This window comes from Homo sapiens, chromosome 9 (assembly GCF_000001405.40).
Source record: "Homo sapiens chromosome 9, GRCh38.p14 Primary Assembly".
Taxonomy (NCBI): Eukaryota; Metazoa; Chordata; class Mammalia; order Primates; family Hominidae; genus Homo; species Homo sapiens.
Genome location: NC_000009.12, coordinates 94,251,095 through 94,275,625, shown reverse-complemented (window position 1 = coordinate 94,275,625; position 24,531 = coordinate 94,251,095). Strand labels below are relative to the sequence as shown.

The window sequence follows — 24,531 nt, the reverse complement described above, 5'->3', positions numbered from 1 at the left end:
AAGAAAAATGACAGAATAGGAGAAAGAGAAATAGACCAATGCATAATCATAGTTAAGAAAATTTATTACACCTCACTCAGTTAATGGAAAAGTGAACTGACAATAAGTCAGGAAATGGATGATCTGGAAAACACTATTGGGCAGTACTGATCTAATGGACCTTTGCAGAACACCAAACCCAACAAGTATAGAATACATATCCTTTATAGGTGTACACAAAATATTCACCAAAGTAGATGAAATACTGAGGCATAGAAAACAAATCTCCAATTTCAAAGGACTACAGTCCCCAACTTACAATGGTTCAACTTACAATTTTTCGACGTTATAATGGTATGAAAGCAATACACATTCAGTAAAAACCATACTTCTTTTTTATTTACTTTTTGAGAGACAGTGTCTCACTTTGTCACCAAGGCTGGATGCAGTGGCACAATCATAGCTCACTGCAGCCCCAACTTCCTGGGCTCAAGCAATCCTCTTGCCTCAGCCGCCAGAGTAGCTGTGGCTACAGATGTGTGCCACCATGCCTGGCTATTTTTTTATTTTTCATAGAGATGGGGTCTCACTGTTTGTCCAGGCTGGTCTAGAACTTCTGGCCTCAAGTGATCCTCCTGCCTCAGCCTCCCAAAGCACTGGGATTACAAGGCATAAAGCACCATGCCCAGTCAAAACCCTACTTCAGATTTGGAATTTTAATCTTTTCCAGGGCTTGCAATGCTGGGCAGCAGCAGCAAGCCACAGCTCCAAGCCAGCCACACGATCTTGAAGGTAAACAACCCATATTCTATAGTGGACCATGTTGCCAGATGATTTTGCCCTTTCTGAACCAAACCAGTGTATTTCTTAAGTGTATTTGATTGATGTCTCATGCCTCCCTGAAATATTATATAAAACCAAGCTGTGCCCCAACCACCTTGGGCACATGACTGCCCAACTGTAGGCTAATGTAAGTATTCTGAGCAAATTTAAGGTAGACTAGGTTACGCTCTGATGTGCGGCAGGTTAGGTATATTGAATGCATTGTCAACCTAAACAATATTTTCAACTTACAATGGGTTTATTGGGACATAATCCCATTGTAAGTCAAGGAACATCTGTATATTATTTGCCCAAGATGGAACCAAAGCAGAAATCAATAACAATAAGATATTTTTAAAAACCTTGATAATTAGGAATTAAGCAGCCCTTATCTAAAGGAGATATGAATCAAAGAAGAAATTCCAAGGGATATGAGAAAATATTTTGAACTCGGTGATTCTAATAAACTTATTAATACATATTACAACTTACCAAATTTGTGACTTGGAGCTGTTCCAGGCTGAATTATTCCTTGTCTCCCATATTCGTATGTTGACATCCTAACCCCTAGTACCTTAGAATGTCACTGTCTTCGGAGGTGAGGTCTTTAAAGAGATAACTAAGTAAAAATGAGGTCATTAGAGTGGGCCCTACTCCAATATAACTGGTGTCATTGTAAGAAGAGAAAATTTGGACATAAAAACTTCCGGTGGGAAGACCATGTGAAGACACAGGGAGGAGATGACCAGCTATAAGCCAAGGAGAAAGGCCTCAGAAGAAACCAACCCTGCCGAAACCTTGATCTTGGACTTCTATCTTCCAGAATTATGAAGAAAAAATTTCTGTTGTTTACAGCCACCCATTGTGTGGTACTTTGTTATGGCAGCCCTAGCAAATGAATACAGCCGGTAATAAGGCAGTTCTTAGAAAGAAAGTTATAGCTTTTGGCCGGGCGCAGTGGCTCACGCCTGTAATCCCAGCACTTTGGGAGGCCAAGCTGGGCGGATCACAAGGTCAGGAGATCGAGACCATCCTGGCTAACACGGTGAAACCCCATCTCTACTAAAAATACAAAAAATTAGCTGGGCCTGGTGGCAGGTGCCTGTAGTCCCAGCTACTCGGGAGGCTGAGGCAGGAGAATGGCGTGAACCCGGGAGGCGGAGTTGGCAGTGAGCCGAGATGGTGCCACTGCACTCCAGCCTGGGCGACAGAGCAAGACTCTTGTCTCAAAAAAAAAAAAAAAAAGAAAGAAAGAAAGTTATAGCTTTAAATGAATGTACTTTAAAAAAAGAAGTTTTAATTAAAAATAACTCAGCTCCCATCTCAAGAAGCTAAAAAAAGAAAAGCAAAAAGAACCCAAAATAAGAAGAAAGGAAGTAATAAAGAGGAAAACATAATGAAATAGAAATAAAACTATAGAGAATTAAAAAGTCAAAGGGTGTTTGCAAAAAAAATTAAAATTGCTAAACCCTAGACCTGAAACTATAAAACTCCTAAAAAAAAAATAGGAAAAAGCTTCATGATATTGGTCTTGACAATGATTTCTGGAATATGACACTAAAAGAACAAGCAACAAATATAAAATAGACAAACGGGACTACATCAAACTTACCAACTTCTTTGCAGCAAAGGAAACAGCCAACAGAGTGATAAGGCAACTTACAGAATGAGAGAAAATATTTGCAAACCATGTATCAAATAAGGAGCTAAAATGTAGAATATATAAAGAACTTCTACAACTCAGTAACAAAAAACTCAATTAAAAATGAATAAATGACTTGAATAGACATTTCTCTAAAGAAGATATAGAAATAGCCAAGAACCATATGAAAAGATGTTCAACATCACAAATTACCAGGGAAATGCAAATGAAAACCAAAATGAGATATCACCTAACCCCAATTTGTATGGCCACTACAAAACAAAACAAAACAAAACAAAACAGAAAATAAGTGTTAACAAGGATGTAAAAAAGTAGAACCTTAATGAACTGTTAGTGGGACTGTAAAATGGTGTAGCCACTACAGAAAACAGTATGAAGGTTCCTCAAAAAATTAAAAATAGAACTACCACATCATCCTGTAATCCAACTTCTGGATACATATCCAAAGGAATTGGAAGCAGATGTATCCATTCAATGTATGAACGGATAAAGAAAATGTAGTCTATCCACACAAATGGAATATTATTCAGACTTTAAAAGGAAGGAAATTCTGGCTCATACTACAACATAGATGAACCTTGAGGACATTATACTAAATAAAATAAGCCAGTCACAAAAAGAAAAATATTGCATGATCCCACTAATATGAATACTAAAGTAATTAAACTGATAGAAACAGAAAGTAGAATGGTAGTTGCTAATAGATGGGGAAGAGGAAAAGAATGAGCTGCTATTCAATAGGTAAAAGATTTCAGTCATGCAAGATGAAAAAGTTCTAGAGCTCTGTTGTACATAGTTAACAATATTATACAGTATACTTAAAAAGTATTAAGAGGATAAATATATGTTACGTGGTTGTTTTGCCACAGTAATTTAAAAAAAGAATAAGAAGATCAAAGCTCCTACAACCCCCTCCAAAAAAATTACTAAACCCCTAGGAAAAATGATTAAATTAAAATTTAAAAAGACAAATTTCCAAGATCAGGAATGAAAGAGGAAACATTGTTACAGATCCTACATACATTAAAAGGACAATAAGAGATTCTTATTAAAAATAAAAACGACAGGCCCCAAATTCGTGAAATGAACAAATTCCTTTAATCATAAGGTTTACCAAAACTAAAATGGTAATTTTGAGTGGCCCTACATCTGTAAAGATATTAAAATCATGATTTTAAACTTTAACCAGAAGTAAAAGTTCAGGCTCACAGATAAATTCTGTCAAATACAAGTAGGAGAGACGGCAATACTTCCCAATTCATTTTATGAGGCCAACATAATCCAGACACCAAAACCTGACAAAGCCATACACTTCCTGCAAAAGTCCTTTAAAAATAATAGAAAGTCAAACCCAGCAATAGGTTATAAGGATGATATGGCAACACATGAGACCTATCCAAGAAATGCAACGTTAGTTTAACTTTTTTTTTTTTTTTTTTTTTTGAGACAGAGTCTTGCCCTGTCGACAGGCTGGAGTGCAATGGCACAATCTCAGCTCACTGCAACCTCCGCCTCCTGGGTTCAAGCGATTCTCCCACCTCAGCCTCCCAAGTAGCTGGGACTACAGGTGTGCACCACCACGCCCAGCTAATTTTTGTATTTTTAGTAGAAATGGGGTTTCAGCACGTTGGCCAGGGTGGTCTGGATCTTTTGACCGAGTGATCTGCCCGCCTCGGCCTCCCAAAGTGCTGGGATTACAGGCGTGAGCCACTGAGTCTGGCCAGTTTAACATTTGAAAAGCAATTAATTACTTGCATTAACAAAATGAAAGGTGCCCTGGACCACTCCTGCAGTCCCAGCACTTTGGGGAACTGAGGCAGGTGGATTGCTTGAACTCAGGAGTTCAAGACCAGCCTGGGCAACATGGTAAAACCCCATCTCTACAAAAAAATACAAAAATTAGCTGTGCATGGTGGCACGTGACTGTAGTCCCAGCTATGCAGGAGGCTGAGGTGAGAGGACTGCTTGAGCCCAGGAGGTTAAGGCTTCAGTGAGCCATGATCGTGCTACTGCATTCTGGCCTAGGCAAGAGTGAGATCCTGTCTCAAAAATAATAAAATAAAACAAAATAAAGGAGAAAAATCACCTTCGTAGTTGCAAATATATATATATTTATATATATATAAATACATATATTATTTATGTATATTTATATAATATATAATATATTATTTGTATATTTATATAATATATAATATATTATTTATATATTTATATAATATATTATATATTATTTATATATAATATAATATAATATATATATTATTATATATATTTATATAATATAATATATATATTATTATATATATTTATATAATATAATATATATATTTTATATATATTTATATAATATAATATATATATTATTTATATATATTTATATAATATATAACATATATATTTATATATTATATAAATACATTAATTATATAATATATAATATTATATATTATATAATTATATAAATTATATATTTATATATATTTATATAGTATATATATTTAAAAATATATTTATTTTTATATTTATATAAATTTGAAATTTATATATATTTAAATTATATAAATATATTTATATATATGAAAAAATTCAATGGCTATTCATGATAAAAACTCCTAACAAATTAGCAATAGAAGGAAACTTCCTCAATTTAATAAGCATCTACAAAAACATAGCACTAATACCATACTTAATAGCAAAATATTGAATGATTTCCCTGAGATCAAGAACATGAAAAGTATGTCTCATCTCACCATTTAATTCAACACTTAGGAAATATAAAGAATACAAAAAGTGAAGAAAGAGTAGAAAAGAAGTGAAAAAAGAAAACCAGAAAGATGTAATAATTTAACTTTACATCAATCAGGGCAGGTAAAAGACAGAAAATAGCAGTGTTGGCAAGAATGAGGCAACAGAATTCTCGTACAACCCTGGTAGGATTGTGACAGGCTAAGTATCACTAACAACTGCTTCAGTACTGACTGTGTGGTTAAGTTAAATATTAAAAGCCAGTGCCCTTATACAAGGCTGGGATGTAACAAAAGCCCATCAAGAGTTTTGCCTAGGCCTTTCCTGGGCCTTAAAGCATGACAAAATAATGAAATAATTCTTAACAGGATCCATTTAGGATTAAACAAATTTTATTGTGGGTCTGAAGAAACTCCCCATGCCTCCACAAACAAGTTTATTTGGGGCCTGAAGGAACTCCTCAAACCTCCTGATTTAGCAGGAGACAAGGTAAGAGTAATCACCCCAGCACCTGGACCCATTTAGAAAAGTAAATTTACTGAGGCTCCAGAGGAAGGTCTTCAGGACTCAGACCTTAGTTATAGATTAAAAGAAGTTAATCACTTACATCTTTAGACAAATGCACACTTACATGTAGACATATAGCTTAGAAGGTATATAAGCTCTGGAAAACTTTGTAATTTTGAGTTGGTCTGGTGATAATTTCCAGGCCTTCTCCCTGTAACCGGTTACAGAAATAAAAACTCTCTTCCTCCCCAGTTTATCTGCATCTCGTTATTGGGCCACAAGAAATAGCAGCCCGATCCTCAGTTTGGTCCAGGAACAAATTTGGTGAGCTAGCCAGGAGATAAGGAGAGTGCCGCTTTCAGTGGCTGGCAGCTTGCAATGAGACAGTCTTCAGGAGGATTCCAGCAGCTGCCGGGTGAGGTTTTCCCAGGGGACCCTCCAGAGGGCTGTTTCATGCATGCGCAAATCTGCATGTCCCTTTCACTACTAGGGAAGCATGGAGATCAGGAGTGGATGGGCTCCAAGGGTGAGTTGCCCAGATAGTATGTCAGGAGCCTACTGTTTTCCTGTCTGGGCTTGCGAAGCCATTTGTCCGGTACCACCAAGGGAAGCAAGAGGGCTCGCTCATACACCCCCTTTGCATTTTGGTTGAGATCAGGTTTTGAGTTGGTTTTGAGTCTGTTTTGCCTGAGTGCACTCCCCCTTGTGTTGTCCAAAATTTGTCTCCACTTCTTTGTGTATCTGTCTTATTCCTTTTGATACCATGTAAACTTGATAATGGGAGGTATTGGGTTCATTCCTGCTGAGAGGCCTCTGGGAAGGAAAAATTTTTTTTTTTTTAGGAGCTCAATGGTTGACAGTCGGCCTAAATAAAAGCTAACATCCAAGATGTGTATATATATGTGTGCATGTGTGTATGTTTGTATTTAAAAGGCCTTCATGTTTTTGTTTATTTCTTTCCTAAGACCTTGTCTTTTTGAGCAAAAGTTTTTTCTTCTCTGTTGACTGAATTCTGTTTTCTTCATTAATAGCTATTACAACAAAAGCTACTCTGGGGTTTTTAGGAAAACATATAATTTAGACACTTAGAAATGTCTTTGGAAATTTTTTTTTTTTTTTTTGAAATGGAGTCTCACTTTGTCACCCAGGCTGGAGTGCGGTGGTGTGATCTCGGCTCATTGTAACCCCTGCCTCCCGGTTCAAGCAATTCTCCTGCCTCAGCCACCTGAGTAGCTGGGATTACAGGCCCCACCACCCCGCCCAGCTAATTTTTGTATTTTTAGTAGAGATGGGGTTTCACCATGTTGGTCAGGGTGGTCTCGAACTCCTGACCTCATGATCCACCTGCCTCAGCCTCCCAAAGTGCTGGGATTACAGGCGTGAGACACTGTGCCAGGCCAACATTAATAGCACACTAATGTAAAGATGAAATTGGGCTTATTTGGTATAAAAATTATACAGAAAGCACTGTTAAATATGAAATCATGTTTGGCTTTCTTTGGGCTATATTTGTATAAATACATTGTTGGTATGTGTTCCAAAGTTATGGGAAACTCCTATAATTCTATTTTAGTGTATGTTATCAGTAATAATTATAATTGTTATGTTAAATTATTTTGTACCACAGAGTTAACAGATTTCCTTGTCAATTGTGTCTTTAACTATGGCTACCCTAAAACTTTTTGTCATCCATAAACAATTGTCTTGTTTCAGTCCTCTTTAGAAGGCAGTTTTATAGGCTAGACACGGTGGCTCATGCCTGTAATCCCAGCACTTTGGGAGGCCGAGGTGGGCGGATCACCTGAGGTCGGGCGTTCAAGACCAGCCTGACCAACATGGAGAAACCCCATCTCTACTAAAAAAAACAAAAAAAATTAGCTGGGTATGGTGGCACATGCCTGTAACCCCAGCTACTCAGGACGCTGAGGCAGGAGAATCGCTTGAACCCAGGAGGGGCAGGTTGCGGTGAGCTGAGATCACACCATTGCACTCCATCCTGGGCAACAAGAGCAAAACTCTGTCTCAAAAAAAAAAAAAAAAAAAAGAAGGCAGTTTTATAATCAGCTGTAAAGCTCTAACAGGTGCTTTTGAATGCAGGTTTCTGATAACTTTAGAGATTGTGACATCAGAATAGAGGAAAAACGTTCAGGACTCGTGAAGAGCTAAAATGTTCATTAATATCAAGCACAACAGGAATTAACTGCATGAACTGAACTAATAGACTGGAATGACCTTTTTGACATTTTTGCTTAAAATATTGCTAATCCTTTGTTTTGCTTTTCAGTGTCAAGGAAACTTTTCTTCTGAGCTATTAACAGCTTTTAACAATTAAGTGTATGCCCATGAACAAAATTTGGAGCATATTTGTTCCTCTCTACCTGGTTCCTCTAGAATTTGGAAACTATCTGTGAGTATTCTTAATTTATGGCAATACAGTTATTTGCATAAGTGCAATAAGAATCTGTTTTCTTTTGTAACAGGACACAATTGGAAAAACTGGTTGTTTTACCAAGGCTTTAACTGGAATGGTGTGCTCTCCTTTAAGGAATCAAAGTTCACTTATGAAGCCAAGAAAGCCTTTAGAAACTGGCCTCATATTTTGTGTACACAGTCCCTGTACAGGGTTTCTGATCTGTGGTAAGTAAAGAATGTCACTTTCTGACAGTCCATGAACCCCAGGTTACCTTAGAACCTCAAGAGGAGAGGTATTCACCCAACTGATAGGTACTTGATGATACAAATCCATGGCTGGGCGTGGCATTAAAAAGTCTTATCTCAGATTCCTTCTATGAAACAAAGTTCCATCAAAGCCAATTTAAAAAGCCTACATGTTAGCTGGGCGTGGTGGCGCTCGCCTGTAGTCCCAGCTACTCGGAAGGCTGAGGCAGGAGAATGGCGTGAACCCAGGAGGCGGAGGTTGCAGTGAGCCAAGATCGCGCCACTGCACTCCAGCCTGGTGACAGAGTGAGACTCTGTCTTAAAAAAAAAAAAAAGGCCTACACGAAAAATAATTATTCTTTCTGCACTGTATACAAATAATTAGGCCAAGTACAATGAAGCAAACCAGTTCTACCATGATTTATCTTTTAATAAAAATGGGAAACTGGAAAGAGAAAAATTATGTTTCAAAAACTACAGTACACCTGTTGTTAAATTCTAGTTTCACCTGATGTTTTTCAGTTTTTATTATTTTCTACAATTTGGATTAAATTCTAATTTTTCTGTCTACAGGTCTCCAAAATAATGTTTTCAATTTTTTCCTCCTTCTTTTCCTTTTTCCCTATTTTTCCTAATTTGAAACCACTGAAACCTAAGCTGTGCCTTCTTGAAGCCCTGTGAACTGAAGACTAGACAACTTAAACTTCAGAAGAAAACAGTGGCAACCTATTTATATGTGTTGCTGTTGCACACTACTATGTTTCAGCAGGCGCTGCCTCTATGCCCCCAAAACAGAGACTGCTACTGGGAACAAATTGAACTCTTTCACTCCAGCGCTGCGTTCGATGCTCCGTAACAACGACCCCATCTCAGCAGGAAGTAGCCAGAAAGATTATAATGCCCCATCTCCCTACAATTCTTGTGACAAATAAATATACAAGCATGATAGAAATCATGTGCAAATTGACAGTGGGGATTGTGGCAGGTCAGGTCTCACTAAGAACTGTTTCAGTACTGACTGAGTGGTTAAGTTAAATATTAAAAGTCAGTGCCCTTATACAAAGGCTAGGATGTAACAAAAGCCCATCAACAATTTTGCCTAGGCCTTTCCTGAGCCTTAAAGCATGACAAAATAACTAAGAATTTTTTTTTTTTTTTTTTTTGAGACAAAGTCTTTCTCTGTTGCCCAGGCTGGAGTGCAGTGGTGTGATCTTGTCTCACTGCAACCTCTGCCTCCCGGGTTCAGGCAATTCTACTGCCTCACCCTCCTGAGTAGCTGAGATTACAGGCATGTGCCACCATGCCCAGCCATTTTTTTGTAAATAACTAAGGAATTCTTAACAGGACCCATTTAGGATTAAACAAGTTTTATTGTGGGTCTGAAGAAACTCCCTAGGTCTCCACAAACAAGTTTACTGAGGATCTGAGGGAACTCCCCAAGCCTCCATGATTTAGCAGGAGATAAGATAAGGGTAATCACCCCAGCACCTGGACCCACTTAGATTAAATAAATTTACTGAGGCTCCAGAGGAAAGTCTTCAGGACTCAGACCTTAGTTATAGATTAAAAGAAGTTAATCACTTATGTATTTAGATGAAAGCACACTTACACATAGAGATATAGCTTGTTATATAAGCTCTGGAAAACTTTGTAATTTTTTTTTTTTTTTGAGACAGAGTCTCGCTCTGTCCCCCAGGATGGAGTGCAATGGGGCGATCTTGGCTCACTGCAACCTCTACCTCCCGGGCTCAAGTGAGTCTCCTGCCTCAGCCTCCCAAGTAAGTAGGATTACAGATGCCTGCCACAAAGCCTGGTTAATTTTTGTATTTTTAGTAGAGATAGGGTTTCACCATGTTGGCCAGGCTGGTCTCGAACTCCTGACCTCAAGTGATCCGCCTGCCTCAGCCTCCCAAAGTGCTGGGATTACAGACATGAGCCACTGCGCCTGGCAAAACTTTGTAATTTTGAGTTTTGTGATGATTCCCAGGCCTTCTCCCTGTAACCGGTTACAGAAATAAAAACTCTCTTCCTCCCCAGTTCATCTGCATCTCGTTATTGGGCCACGAAAAATAGCAGCCTGACCCTCAGTTTGGTCCGGGAACAGGATTGTAAAATGGTACAACTATTTTTGAAGACTGTATGGCAGGTTTTTTTTAATGTTAAACATACCTATGATCTGGCAATTCCCAAAGTACCTAAGAGATATTAAAAAAAAAAAAAAAAAAAACAGGGTACAGAAAGAGATATACATCAGCCTAGTAAAAGAACCCTGGAAAAAAAAGAATTGTACAAGAATTGTCACAGTAGCTTAATTACTATACCTAACAATCAAAAACAACAGAAAAAGGAGAATGGATAAACAAAAGGTAGTAGAATCATACAACAAAATACAATAAAAAGGAATAGGAATAAACTACTGATCAAGTAACAAGAAGGCAGAAACAGAATACGTACTATATGATTTCATTTACATGGAATTCTAGGAAAGGCAAAACTTTAGTGATAGGGAGCAAATCAGTTACACAACAATATACATTACTTAAAACTCATCGAATTGTACACTTAAGAGTTGTGATTTTGTAATAAATCTGATTTTTAAAAAGCCTTCAAAGACATTTTCAAGTAAAAGAAAACCAGTAAAATTTATCGTCAGCAGACCTGCCCTGTAAGAGTTTTTGTGAACTGAAGAAAAATTATGCCAAATGGAACCTTGGATTTTCTGTGGTGATTGAAGATCACCAGAAACGATAAATAACGTTCACACCCAAAAAAGACTATTTCTTTTTTCTCCTAATTTCTTTAACATATACAACTGAAGCCAGGCGCGGTGGCTCACGTCTGTAATCTCAGCACTTTGGGGGGCCAAGGTGGACAGATCACTTGAGGTCAGGAGTTCAAGACAAACCTGGTCATGGTGAAACCCCATCTCTACTAAAAATACAAAAATTAGCTGGGCATGGTAGCGTATGCCTGTAATCCCAGTGACTCGGAAGCTGAGACAGGAGAAGCGCTTGAACCCGCGAGGCAGAAGTTGCAGTGAGCCAAAATTGTGCCACTGCACTCCAGACTGGGCAACAGAGCAAGACGCCACCTCAAAAAGATAAAATAAAAGACTGTTTATAGCAAATACATTATATTTGCATTGTGATTGACAGCATATGAAGATTCAATACATATGACAATTACAGCCTGAAGAATGACGGAGTAGGTAGGTACAAGTACCTATACAATTACAAGAGCCCTCATTTTACATGAAGTTGTTCGACATTACATAGACTGTGAAGAGTTACAAATATATACTGTCATCTCTAAAGCAGGCACTAAAAATATAAAGTAAAAATGCAAAGCACTATAGCTAAGTGGCAATTAAGTTATATTGAATTAAGTTAAATTAGAATGCTAAAAAAAAAAAAAAATTCAATTGGCCCAAAGAAGGCAGAAATAGGAACAGGGGAAGAAAAAAAACAGGAGGCAAATAAAAAAACAAACAGTAAAAGAGACCTAATCTAATTGTATCAGTAATTACATGAAATACGCATTCCAATTAAAAGGCACAGACTGGCTGGGCACGGTGGCTCATGCCTGTAATCCCAGCACTTTGGGAGGCTGAGACAGGAGGATTGCTTAAGCCCACGAGTTGGAGAATAGCCTGGGCAACACAGCAAAACATCGTCTCTAAAAATAAATAAAAAAGGCACAGATTATCAGAATAGATTAAAAAAAAAAAAGCAAGACCTAACCATATGTTGTCTACAATATAAAGACTTTAAATATAAAGACATAGGTCAGTTGAAAGAAAATGAATGAGAAAAGAGATAACATGCAAAGAGTAAACATAACAAGACTGAAATGGCTATATTACTATCAGATAAACTACATTTCAAGAGAAAGTGTTACCAGAGATACAAAGGGATGTTTCATGAAAATAAAACAGTCAATTCATCAGGAAGATATAACAAAGATAAATATGTATGCACCTTATAATAACAATGCTTCAAAATACGTGAAGCAAAAATTGACAGAACTCGATGGAGAAATTGGCAATTCCATAATCCTAGTTCGAATTAACACCTTGCCACAACAGTTGATAAAATAACTAGAAAAAAAAATCCATAAGGAAATACAAGATTTGAACATAATAACTAACTTGACCAAACTGATATTAGCTCATCACTGCTCAACAGAATGCACATGCTTTTAAAGGGCCCATGGTACATTCCCCAACTCACACTACATGCTGGGTTGTGAAATAACTCCCAATAAATTTGCAAAGACTGACATTCTACATCATTTGTTCTTTGACCTGAATGGAATTAAATAAGAAGTCAGTAAGAATAGCTAGAAACCCTCCAAATACTTGGAAATTAAATAGATGATGCACAGAAAGGCACTGCATTCATCAAGTGCATGCAATTTTTTTGATGACTTTCACTGTAAAAGGGAGCAGAGAGATAGGGTAATGAGTGTAGTCAGAAATCATGACCCTTCTCAGCCAAGCGAGGTGGCTCACACCTGTAATCCCAGCACTTTGGGAGGCCGAGGCAGGCGGATCACGAGGTTAGGAGATCAAGACCATCCTGGCCAACATGGTAAAACCCCGTCTCTATTAAAAATACAAAAAAATTTAGCTGGGCATGGTGGCGCACGCCTGTAGCCCAGCTACTCAGGAGGTTGAGGCAGGAGAATCGCTTGAACTTGGGAGGCAGAGGTTGCAGTGAGCCGAGATCGCACCACTGCACTCCAGCCTGGGCGACAGAGTGAAACTCTGTCTCAAAACAAAAACAAAAACAAAAGAAAAGAAAAAAAGAAATCATGACCCTTCTCTTGTCAGAACCCGGCAGTAGATCTCGCTGACCTCAGATAAGATCCACACACAATCTTGGCACCCTAGGCTTTCCCCAGTAATAGCCTAACCCCCTTTTCCCATCTGAGTTTCTATCCTCCATGAACTTCCTTTTCCAGGCAAAAAAGACAACTGATACCCTCAAAGTCAGTCAGTTGCACAGTCCAGGTGGGTGCCAAGCACTGTGTCAGTGACCCATGAGGAGCCAGACAAGGTGCCTGTCCCCTCAAAGAACTATCTCAAAACCAGTGGGACAGTCAGACAGTTGAGATATACCATGCCAGCCGTGGAGTCCTCATATAATAAAGTGCTCTGAAACTAAAAAGGACAATGGAAGTAATTCTGCCAGAGAAAACTCAGGAAAGCTTTGTAGTGGACAAATATCTGTAGTGAGGCAACTTTTGAGACAAATACGGAAACAACACAGCCTGAATAAGTGATACTAAATAAATTCTGTTAATTTTCTTGGGTATGATCATTAATGCTGAAGTTGTTTTTCTTTAAATTCCTTATTTATGAGAGATGCATACTGAACACTGAAGTATTAGATTGGTGCAAAAGTAATTGTGGTTTTTGCCATTTACAGATGAAATGATATGACATTTGAATTTTGTTTTAAAGAACTACATCAGAGAAGTGTCATACACAAGTTTTACTTCGTTCTACATTCACAGCAGCTCCACGAGGTTAAGTACCTTGCTCAAAGTGACAGTGACAAAGGGAGAGACCTGGATTTGAACTCACTCTATGAAGGGTCACTCAAGACACCAAATCCTGGTATAGACCCCTAGTGAAAGAGACAATTTCCAAAGAGATCCACACTTGGGGTTGCAGATTTGGGGGAAAGAAGACAGGTGAGTCATTTGTAAGTGGTGAATCTGAGTGATGAATCCATGGAACTTCAAAACTACTTCTGGATATCTTTGCAATGTTTTCATACTGAGAAGTTAGAAATAAGAGTAGGTCTTGGCCGGGCGCAGTGGCTCACGCTTGTAATCCCAGCACTTTGGGAGGCCGAGGCCGGTGGATCAGGAGGTCAGGAGTTCAAGACCAGCCTGACCAACATGGTGAAACCCCGTCTCGAGCGGGGTGCGGTGGCTCACGCCTGAAATCCCAGCACTTTGGGAGGCCGAGGCGGGCGGATCACGAGGTCGGGAGATCGAGACCATCCTAGCCAACATGGTAAAAACACAAAAATTAGCCAGGTGTGGTAGCGCGTGCCTGTAGTCCCAGCTACTCGGGAGGCTGAGGCAGGAGAATACCTTGAACCCGGGAGGCGGAGTTTGCAGTGAGCCGAGATCGCGCCGCGCCACCCCACTGCACTCCAGCCTGGCGACAGAGCAAGACTCCCTCTCAAAACAAACAAACAAACAAACAAACAAAAAACAAACCCCGTCTCTACTAAAAATACAAAAAAAATTAGCCGGGCGTGGTGGCGGGCGCCTGTGGTACCAGCTACTCAGGAGCCTGAGGCAGAGAATTGCTTGAACCCGGGAGGCCGTGGTTGCAGTGAGCTGAGATCACTCCACTGCACTCCAGCCTGGGCGACAGAGTGAGACTTCATCTCAAAAAAAAAAAAAAAAAAAAAAAAAATGTAGGTTTGGATGCCTTCCACCCAACTTCTTCCCCCACCTCCAGGAATTCAAGGAGTCACTCAACAGCCCCCTGAGGCTTGAGAAAAATGTTCCTTGGCCCTATGGGCACCATTCTGCTTGTTGCAACCCATGCTCCCGGAAGGGTCCCCAAGTCCGAGGGAGCCACACAGCTGCAGAAGCCGACAATCTGGATACAAGCACGCCCCCATGCAACCCACAACCCAGGGATGTCTAACTCCAGGCAAGCCCTTCTCAACTCACCAACTTGGGTCCCCAGGCCCCAAGGCTACTGACCCGAGTCGCACGGCCCTAGCCGTCCCCCCCCCCACTATCAAGACCAAGTCTGGATGTCTACCCACAAACAATCCTCCCCCACAAACCCGGGTCCTAGTGGCCAAGCTGCACCATCACCACCACAGTGCACCAGCCATCCACAAGAGCCCTAATAACTGGACTGAGGTTGGGCACGGTGGCTCACGCCTGTAATCCCAGTACTTTGGGAGGCCGAGGCGGGGGGATTACTTGAGGTCAGGAGTTCGAGACCAGCCTTGCCAACATGGTGAAACCCCGTCTCTACTAAAACACAAAATATTAGCCGGGCGTGGTGGCGTGCGCCTGTAGTCCCAGCTACTCGGGAGCCTGAGGCAGGGGAATCACGCCACTGCACTCCAGCCTGGGCGACAAGAGCGAAACTCTGTCTCAAAAAAACAAAACAAAACAAAAACCAAAAAATTAGCCGGGCGTGGTGGCGGGTGCCTGTAATCCCAGCTGCTCGGGAGGCTGACGCGGGAGCATGGCTTGAACCCGGCGGCTGGGGTGGGGCGCGGAGATTGCAGTGAACCGAGATTGCGCCACTGCACTCCAGCCTGGGCGACAGAGAGAGACTCTGTTTCAAAAATAAATAAATAAATAAATAAAATTTAATAAATAAACAAATAAACAACCCGACTGATGCCCAAGCCGCGTGCCTCCCACTAATGGGGAAGTTTGCTCCAACCGAGGATATCATGTCCTCCAAAGGCACATTTGCTGGCCCAGAGACCTCCGAGGCGCGATGGTGGGGAGGGGATGGCGGGATACTAGTGGCAGGATGCTGTCTGGGTACCCCAGGCAGAGCCCACTCAGCGGCCCCCGAAGTACCGGGGACGCACCTGCGAAGTAGCTCGGGAAGTCGGTCCCAGGCCTGCACTGGCCCCTCCAGGTCAACATACTGGGCCCAAAGTCCCGCCAGAAGCACGCGACAACGCCAACGCCCCCTCCCCACCAGAGGACCTCCGCCAAGACCTCTCTCCGGGGTGGACCACGCACGCCCAGACCCCACAGCCGAAACTCAAAACACCAAGGAACATGTGGCCACGACATGGACTGCCCATGCCAGCTTTCCCGACCTTCCTTCCAGTGGAAGGCCCGCGAAAGCGGGGACCACCTCCGGGCTAGCTCACCAGAACTGTGAAAGGACACTCACCACGCACCAGGCGACGATGCCGGAACGCGGAAGTACGCGAGCCGGACTGCCCCTGGGCACGGAACTACACTACCCAGACTGCCACGGGGCGCGCAACTACCCTACCGTGGATGCCCTGGAGCGAGGGACTACAACATCCAGAATGCTGCGAGGGGCGGGACCGCAGCATCCAGGAGAAATTGTGAAAAATCAGAAAGTAAAATCTAACTTTCGGGTCTATGAGAAGGGTGGTCAGGTGAGCAGTAAGTCTTCTTTAACTTTTTATACGGTCCTTCTAATTTTTTTTTTTTTTAAAAAGATGTTACATGTCCTCCATCCTGCAAATTCACACCTGTGATTGTACACCCCTGAACTTTATCTACTTACTTATTTTTTGAGAAGGGGTCTTGCTCTGTCGGCCAGGCTGCAGTACAATGGTGTGATCATAGCTCACTGCAGCCTCAAACCCCTGGCCAAGCAATCCTCTCACCTCAACTTTCTGAGTAGCTGGGAATACAGGTGCATAGCACCACACCGGGCTAATTTTTTGTTTTGTTTTTTAGAATCTGGGTCTCGCGGCCGGGCGCGGTGGCTCACGCCTGTAATCCCAGCACTTTGGGAGGCTGAGGCGGGCGGATCAGAGGTCAGGAGTTCGAGAGCAGCCTGGCCAATGTGGTAAAATCCCGTCTCTACTAAAAATACAAAAATTACCTGGGCGTCGTGATGGGCGCCTGTAGTCCCGGCTACTCAGGAGGGTGAGGCAGGAGAATCACTTTGAACTCGGGAGGTGGAGGTTGCAGTGAGCCAAGATCGCACCACTGTACTCCAGCCTGGACAACAGAGTGAGATTCCTTCTCAAGGGGGAAAAAAAAAAAAAAGAATCTGGGTCTCGCTATGTTGACCAGGCTGGTCTGGAACTCCTGGCCTCAAGCAATTTTCCCACTTCAGGCTCCCAAAGTGCTGGGATTACAGGCGTGAGCCGTCCTTGTGGCCCAGGCTGCCTTTCGAGTTTATTTAGGGCCCTCTAGCCAGAGGTGGTGAGATTGGCAGTAACTCAAATTCCAACTGCTGGGATAGGTGATTCTCCTCGGGCTAAGGCTGGTGTAAATACTCCCTCCATGCGTGAGAATCAGCTGTGTTTGATCCAGTTTTGCTTTCTGGTATAACAGGGCAGCACTGAGTTCAATGCAATGTCTCATCATTGCTGTGCTTGCCGTCTCCCAAGAACATAGATTCTCTCTCCGCACCACAGAGCCACTGCTGGGGGATGGGTCAGGGGCATTGGTGATTCAAGACTGTCTTTCCTACCTTTTCAGTGCCTCTTTCAGTCATATGAAGTAAAAACCAGGTACTGCGAGTGCTTACCTGATTTTTGGTTCTTGTGAAGGTGCTTTTGTGTGTAAATAGTTGTTAACTTGTTTTTCTTACAAGGGGGAATGATCAGTGGAGCCTTCCATTCCACCATCTTGCTCCACCTCCCACCCCCATGTTTTAAATGACAGTGTGTATGAATGTACTTCTAAAAATGCCAAAAATACTGGGGTTTTTTTTCCTGTTATAAAGAAGAAGATTCTGAAGTTTTTTTTTTAATTCCAATTGATTACAAGAAGATAAGGAAAAACTAAACTTGAGGACATTTAACACTATAGCAATTAAAGTTATCTTACTAATGCAAAGATTGTTTATTAGATGTAACAGAATAATACGCTCAAAAACATACCAAAGTCTTTGCAAAATGAGTTATACTCTTTTTCTAAGAATTTGATAAAAAGTGGTATTTTTAAGTTACTTCCTATTTGCTTCTTCTCAAAATGAAGTAACAGGAACCAGATTTAGCCCTTCACCTTAATCAACATTTAAAAGGACAAAATATATGAAACATTTGAAGACATTTGACATCAGACAATGAAGAGCAGTGGAAATCATGGAGGTGAGCCTTTGAACTTCCCGCAGATGGAGAGAATTTCCAAGTCATAGCACAGAGAAGGGAAACTCAAGTGAAGCATGGAGTTCAACTTGAGGAGATGGAACTGGGAATCTGAGGAGGCATATGCATCTAGAGTTCACAGGGCAGAGTACAGAAAGGGAGAGAGAGCGCCAGAGATGTGCAGAGAGTCCTCTTCCTCAGGTATTAGTTAAGTGCTGACCAGCATGTACATGTGAGGAAACTCCTCAAAATTAGGGGTAAAAAACACTAGAAAGGGTTAGAGGGCAATACTGTGAGCTCAAAAAGAACAGGAATAATGTCTGTTCCCACGAGACAGAGTGGAAATGCTAATTCACATGGCATCAAGTCATGTACTCGGAAGGGTTTTGCCTCAATAGTGGGGCAAAAATTAACCTAAATGCTTCTCTGGTCTCACCTAACAGAGCTTAAATCCAAGCCTAGAAAGGACTGAATTGTTCCCAAGTAACTTAACTGCATCCCAGATAAAAAGCTCAAGAATATTTAAAAGAATACAAAACTATCCAGCATCCAATAAGGCAAAATTGGGGACTTTTTTTTTTTTTTTCTATTCTTACACCTGCTTCCATCCTAAGACCCTGGATTTTAGAATTCCAATTAAAAAAATGCTAGCATGCAAAGAATATATTCCCCAAAATGAAGAGAAAAGTCAACCAATAGAAATTACACAGAAGATATAATTAAAAGGTAAGGACACAAGCTGGGCACAGTGGCATGCGTCTGTAGTTGCAGCTACTTAGGAGGCTGCTTAAAACGATTGGGACAATTGCTTAAACCTAGGGGTTCCAGACCATCCTGGGCAAGACCCTAGCAAGACCCTGTCTAAAAAAAAAAAACCAAGATAAGAGCACTAAAACATTTATTGTAACTACAACTTCAAGAAGCTACAGGAAACACTTCGAGACCCTGTCTAAAAAAAAAAAACCAAGATAAGAGCACTAAAACATTTATTATAACTACAACTTCAAGAAGCTACAGGAAACACTTCAAGAAGGGTTTTTCTATACATCATGCCATACTGGATGGTATGATGATTAATTTTACATGTCAACTTGGCTACACTATAATGACCAATTATTTGGTAGTAGTCTAGATACTACCATGTAGATATCTTACATGTGTAATTAACATTTTCAGTCAGTTGACTTTAAGGGAGATTACACTCCATAATGTGGGAGGGTTTCATCTAATCAGTTGAAGGCCTTAACGGCAAAATCTGAGGTTTCCAGAGAAGGAATTCTGCCTTAAGACTCTAACAGAAATCCTCCCTGATGTTTTAGCCTGCTGTCCTGCCCCGTGAATTTTAGACTCAAGATTGCAATATCAACTCTTACCTGAATTTTCAGCCTGCCTGCCCTACAGATTTCAGACTTGCCAGCCCCTGCAATTGCATGAGCCAATCCCTTAAATAAATCAGTCACTCTCTCCCACTTGATAAACACTTGATAAACAGATCAATAGATAGAATATATATATGTATATATACACACATATATATATATATATATACAGATACATATATCCTATTAGTTTTTTCCTATCCTATTACTTTTTTCTTTATATATCCTATATATACATATATCCTACTCACTCTCTCTCTCTCTCTCTCTCTATATATATATATCCTATTAGTTCTATTTCTCTGGAAGACTTTGACTGACACAGTTGGTATTGCAGCAGACTGGACATTTCAGGGGAAAAAGAAGTTAGCCTGAAGACATGGAAGGGGAAACTATTCAAAGTAAAACAGGGATAAAAAATACTCAAATGAAAATTATGTGATGAAAATTATAAGCCAACAGATTAAAGCATCTCAGTGAAGCCTATGCAGAGGAAACATGAAAATAACAACACCAAGGTACAACTGCTTAAAAGCAGCTATAAAGAAACTTGTTTTAAAAAGCCAGAAAGAGGAGACATATTATGTACAAATGAACAAAGATAACAGCAGATTTCATTCAATAAAAAATGCGGCCGGGCACGGTGGCTCACGCCTGTAATCCCAGCACTTTGGGAGGCCAAGGCAGGTGGATCATAAGGTCAGGAGTACAAGACCAGCCTGACCAACATGGTGAAACACTGTCTCTACCAAAAATACAAAAATTAGCCGGGAGTGGTGGTGCGCACCTGTAATCCCAGATACTCAGGAGGCTGAGGCAGGAGAATCGTTTGAACCCAGGAGGCGGAGGTTGCTGTGAGCCAAGATCGCACCATTGCACTCCAGCCTGGGTGACAGAGTGAGACTCTATCTCAAAAAAAAAAAAAAAAAAAAAGCAAGGTAAAAGGAGCAACATCTTTAAAGCACTGAAAAAAAAAGCCAATGTATCAACTTAGAATTTTTTACCCAGTGAAAAAACAGGATGTCCTTCAATCAAAAGGAAAAGGATACTAGATGGAAATAAGGATCTACACAGAGAAATGAAAAATGCTAGAAAGAATATGTAAAAGCTGTGTTTCTATTTAAATAGCTTTAATACATAATAAACTGTTTAAAGTAATAAGAAGGTATTGTGATGTTTATGATATATATAGAAGTGAAATGCGTAACTATGATAACAGAAAGGCCAGGGCTGAAATGGAAGCACATTGTTGTAAGGTTCTACTTTGTGTAAATAGTATAATACCACCAAAGGTAAATTGTGGTAAATTAAAGATGTGTAATATAAACTCAAAGATATAACTGAAATAACACAACCAACATATACCCAATGAACCAACAAAGGACAAATGAAATCATTAAAAATACTCAATTCAAAAGAGGGCAGGGAAAAGAATAATAATGAGCAGATGATGGGTGGGCGCGGTGGCTCACACCTGTAATCCCAGCACTTTGGAAGGCTGAGGTGGGGAAATCACCTGAGATCAGGAGTTCGAGACCAGCCTGGCCAACATGGTGAAACCCAGTCTCTACTAAAAATACAAAAATTAGCCAGGCGTGGTGGCACACGCCTGTAATCCCAGCTACTTGGGAGGCTGAGGCAGGAGAATCACTTGAACCTAGGAGGCGGAGTTTGCAGTGAGCACCACTGCACTCTAGTCTGGGTGACAGAGCAAGACTCTGTCTCAAAAACAAGCAAACAAAACAAATAAACAAAGGGAAGTTGCACATTTCCAGTTCCCTCACAGTGGTCAATCTTTGGATCCACGTTTCAGCCAACCAACCAAACTGTTAGAGCCCTTTCTAAGTCCCTGAGCTGAAACATTAAGTGTAGAATCTCTGCTTAGTGGGCTCATATTAATGAATTCAACCTGATCCAACTTTACGTTCCTTCCCCCGTTACCCCACACCCTTAATATTGATTCCTAAACATGTTCCCTGGTTTCTGCTTGTTTAAACTAGAAAATCAAGCAGTTCTTTTGGAATATAGTATACCTTTTCATGGGTCACACTTTGTACCTCTTCTTCAGGAACCTGCTGGGACTTCAGTCTAGGTATAGGTTTAGAAATGAAAAGGGGTGGTGCGTATGGGTCTTGAGAAAAACCAGCAGTGTCTTGCAAGACAACTGCCTCAGGGTAGGCCATTACCATTTCCTCAGGCAATGCAAAGTTAATCCCTTCAGGCAGAGGTGGAAAGATGAATATCACTGCAGGTTTGGAGGCCAGCTCCTCTGGGGTTGGGGAGACCTCTTCCACTGGCAAAAAGATTCATCAGAGTTTGGAGGCTCAATGTCTCTAGCCTTATTAAAGTCATCCAAGTTTACAGAACCCCATTCTTTTCCAATGTCCTCACTTTAACAGTAGACACCTATGCGGCTTGGAGTTCAACTTGTGTTGTAATTCAGCCAATCATAGAATGAGGTTCTGCATTTGATTTTTCAGCAATTTCAGCCCTGTGCCTATAGGAGATAAGGCTCTCCTTCAGGGTATGCTTAGAAACTCTTGGATCATTTATGCAGCACTTGACCTGGGAATTCAAATCCCTGAGTTTGTCTTTTTCTTTCACCACTTTGTCCAGTGACATTAGCATTAGCCAACTACATCATTATATTCTTTAGTTTTCCAAAAATGTTTGAAAGTATCATATACAAAGTCACTTATCTCCTTGCTTCTTATAAGTGGCTGATTGGGAGTATCCAAAGCAGATATTTTGTGTATCTATATGAACATGCCATGGATTATCTAGTTTATACCATGGATTATCAGTGCTCTCTTTTTACTACTGGAAATAGAATTATTAACATCTTTAAATCAATTCATACTAGACAGCCAATTCCAGAACCAATTCAGAAAACTCATCTTAAAAATTCTGTTCCACTAGAACCACTCTCAGCACTAAAATCTGTATTAGGGTTCTCCAGAGAAACAGAGCCAATTTTATATATACATGTATAAAACAGATAAAAGAAAATTTATTTTAGGAATTGGTTCACATGGTTATGAAAGCTCAAAGGTCCCATGACCTACTATGGGACCTACAGCTTGTAGCTGGAGAACCAGGAAAGCCAGTGGTATAATTCAGTCTGAGTCTGAAGGCTGATAATATAAGTACTGGCCTGAACCTGATGGCCCAAGAATCAGGGGCATCAATATCTGAGGGCAGGAGAAGACAGACATCCAAGCTCAGAGAGAAAGAATTCACCTTTCCTATCACGAGGTCAAGAGATCGATACCATCCTGGCCAACATGGTGAAACCCCATCTCTACTAAAATACAAAAATTAGCTGGGGATGGTGGCAGGCACCTATACTCCCAGCTACTCGGGAGGCTGAGGCAGGAGAATCGCTTGAACCCAGGAGGCAGAGCTTGCAGTGAGCCAAGATTGCGCTACTGCACTCCAGCCTGGGTGACAGAGCGAGACTCCATCTCAAAAAAAAAAAAAAAAAAAAGAATTCACCCTTCTTCTACTTTTATGTTTTATTTGGGCCCTGAGTGGATTGGATGCGGCCCACATTGGTGAGGGTGATTTTTTTCACTCAGTCTACTGATTCAAATGCTAATCTTTTTCAGAAACACCCTCACAGACACAGCCATTAATAATGTCTTACCCGCTATCTGGGTATCCCCTAGCCTACTTAAGTTGACAAATAAAATTAACCATCACAATAAAGTTACCTTCTCCTCCTAGTTTGTCGTTGAATATTTTCATCTTGAAGATATAAATCTTCAAGTGGAACAGAACCACTTAAATGTTGTCAAATGCTCTTTCTGAATATGAAGATAATCCTGTGGGGTTTGTTCTTTGTTCCACCAATATGATGCATTATATTGATTTTTGGATGTTAAATTAATCTTGAATTTCTGGGATAAATTCCACTTGAATGTGGTATTTAGCCCTTTTTTATGTTGTTGGATTTAGTTTGCTAGTTTTTAATTGAGGGATTTGCACCTATTTCATAAGATATATTGACTTGTAGTTTTTTCGTGATGGCTTTTTCTGATTTTAATATCGAAGCAATATTTGCTTCAAAGACTGAGTTGGAAAGAGTTTTCTCCTCTTTTGTTTCTTAGAAGAATTTGCGAAGAATTGCTATGGATTCATCTTTTTTTTTTTTTTGAGACAGATTCTTACTGTCACCCAGGCTGGAGTAGAGTGGCACAATCTCGGCTCACTGCAACTTCTGCCTTCTGGGTTCAAGTGATTCTCCTGCCTCAGCCTCCCAAGTAGCTGGGATTGCAGGCTCCTGCCACCGTGCCCGGCTAATTTTTGTATTTTTAGTAGAGACGAGGTTTCACCATCTTGGTCAGGCTGGTCTTGAACTCCTTACCTCGTGATCCACCTGCCTCAGCCTCCCAAAGTGCTGGGATTACAGGCGTGAGCCACCATGCCAGGCCTGAATTCATCTTTAAGTGTGTGGTAGAATTTACCAGTGAAGGCATCTGGGACTGAACTTATCTTTGTAGGTAGTGTTTTCATTATGAATTCTATCTATTTTCTTGTTATACGTTGATATGGTTTGGATGTTTGTCCCCTTAGATCTCAAGTTGAAATGTGATTCCAAATGTTGGAGGTGGGGGCTAGTGGGAGGTGAGTAGATCACGGGGGCAGATCCCTCAAGAATGGTTTAGGCCAGGGGTGGTGGCTCATGCCTATAATACCAGCACTTTGGGAGGCCGAGGCAGGAGAATTGCTCTAGGCCAGGAGTTCAAGACCAGGCTGGACAACATAGTGGGACCCCATCTCTTCAAAAAAGTTTAAATTTAGCCAGATGTAGTGGTATGTGCCTATGGTCCCAGCTACTTGGGAGGCTGAGGTGGGAGGATTGCTTGAGCCCAGGAGGTCAAGGCTGCAGTTAGCAGTGATCACACCACTGTACTCCAGCTTGGGTGACAGAGCAAGACCTTGTCTCAAAATAACCATAGAGCAC

At 40.8% G+C, this 24,531-nt stretch overlaps 1 protein-coding gene and 1 long non-coding RNA gene across 5 annotated transcripts in view, besides 6 other annotated features; one reads left to right on the top strand and one right to left on the bottom strand.

Annotated features, from left to right (window-relative positions):
• The window catches only part of ZNF169 (zinc finger protein 169), a 42,532-nt gene extending 26,204 nt beyond the window's left edge, over positions 1-16,328 (bottom strand). For 3 of the 4 annotated variants that reach the window (NM_001301275.2, NM_003448.3, NM_194320.4), the window contains exon 1: positions 16,281-16,328. The gene's annotated coding sequence lies outside the window, so the exon portion shown is untranslated. Of the gene's footprint in view, positions 1-1,293; positions 2,311-16,280 lie in introns of those variants that run through there. The other variant, XM_024447432.2, reaches the window with a different exon arrangement.
• Positions 14,871-15,516: an enhancer, noted in NCBI's record as "H3K27ac-H3K4me1 hESC enhancer chr9:97022392-97023037 (GRCh37/hg19 assembly coordinates)". NCBI's record gives its function as "activates a minimal SCP1, AML or CMV promoter by ChIP-STARR-seq in primed H9 embryonic stem cells {active_cell/tissue: H9 hESC(primed)}" and the evidence as "EXISTENCE:reporter gene assay evidence [ECO:0000049][PMID:30033119]".
• Positions 15,517-16,163: an enhancer, noted in NCBI's record as "H3K27ac-H3K4me1 hESC enhancer chr9:97021745-97022391 (GRCh37/hg19 assembly coordinates)". NCBI's record gives its function as "activates a minimal SCP1, AML or CMV promoter by ChIP-STARR-seq in primed H9 embryonic stem cells {active_cell/tissue: H9 hESC(primed)}" and the evidence as "EXISTENCE:reporter gene assay evidence [ECO:0000049][PMID:30033119]".
• Positions 15,517-16,809: a biological region, named in NCBI's record as "H3K27ac-H3K4me1 hESC enhancers GRCh37_chr9:97021099-97021744 and GRCh37_chr9:97021745-97022391".
• Positions 15,846-15,975: an enhancer, noted in NCBI's record as "active region_28630". NCBI's record gives its function as "activates an Ori minimal core promoter by ATAC-STARR-seq in GM12878 lymphoblastoid cells {active_cell/tissue: GM12878}" and the evidence as "EXISTENCE:reporter gene assay evidence [ECO:0000049][PMID:35858748]".
• Positions 16,006-16,325: an enhancer, noted in NCBI's record as "active region_28629". NCBI's record gives its function as "activates an Ori minimal core promoter by ATAC-STARR-seq in GM12878 lymphoblastoid cells {active_cell/tissue: GM12878}" and the evidence as "EXISTENCE:reporter gene assay evidence [ECO:0000049][PMID:35858748]".
• Positions 16,164-16,809: an enhancer, noted in NCBI's record as "H3K27ac-H3K4me1 hESC enhancer chr9:97021099-97021744 (GRCh37/hg19 assembly coordinates)". NCBI's record gives its function as "activates a minimal SCP1, AML or CMV promoter by ChIP-STARR-seq in naive H9 embryonic stem cells {active_cell/tissue: H9 hESC(naive)}" and the evidence as "EXISTENCE:reporter gene assay evidence [ECO:0000049][PMID:30033119]".
• Positions 16,315-24,531, top strand: part of LINC02603 (long intergenic non-protein coding RNA 2603) — an 82,743-nt gene continuing 74,526 nt past the window's right edge. The window contains exon 1 of the long non-coding RNA NR_160773.1: positions 16,315-16,515. This is a non-coding gene — a long non-coding RNA (long intergenic non-protein coding RNA 2603). The remainder of the gene's footprint in view (positions 16,516-24,531) is intronic.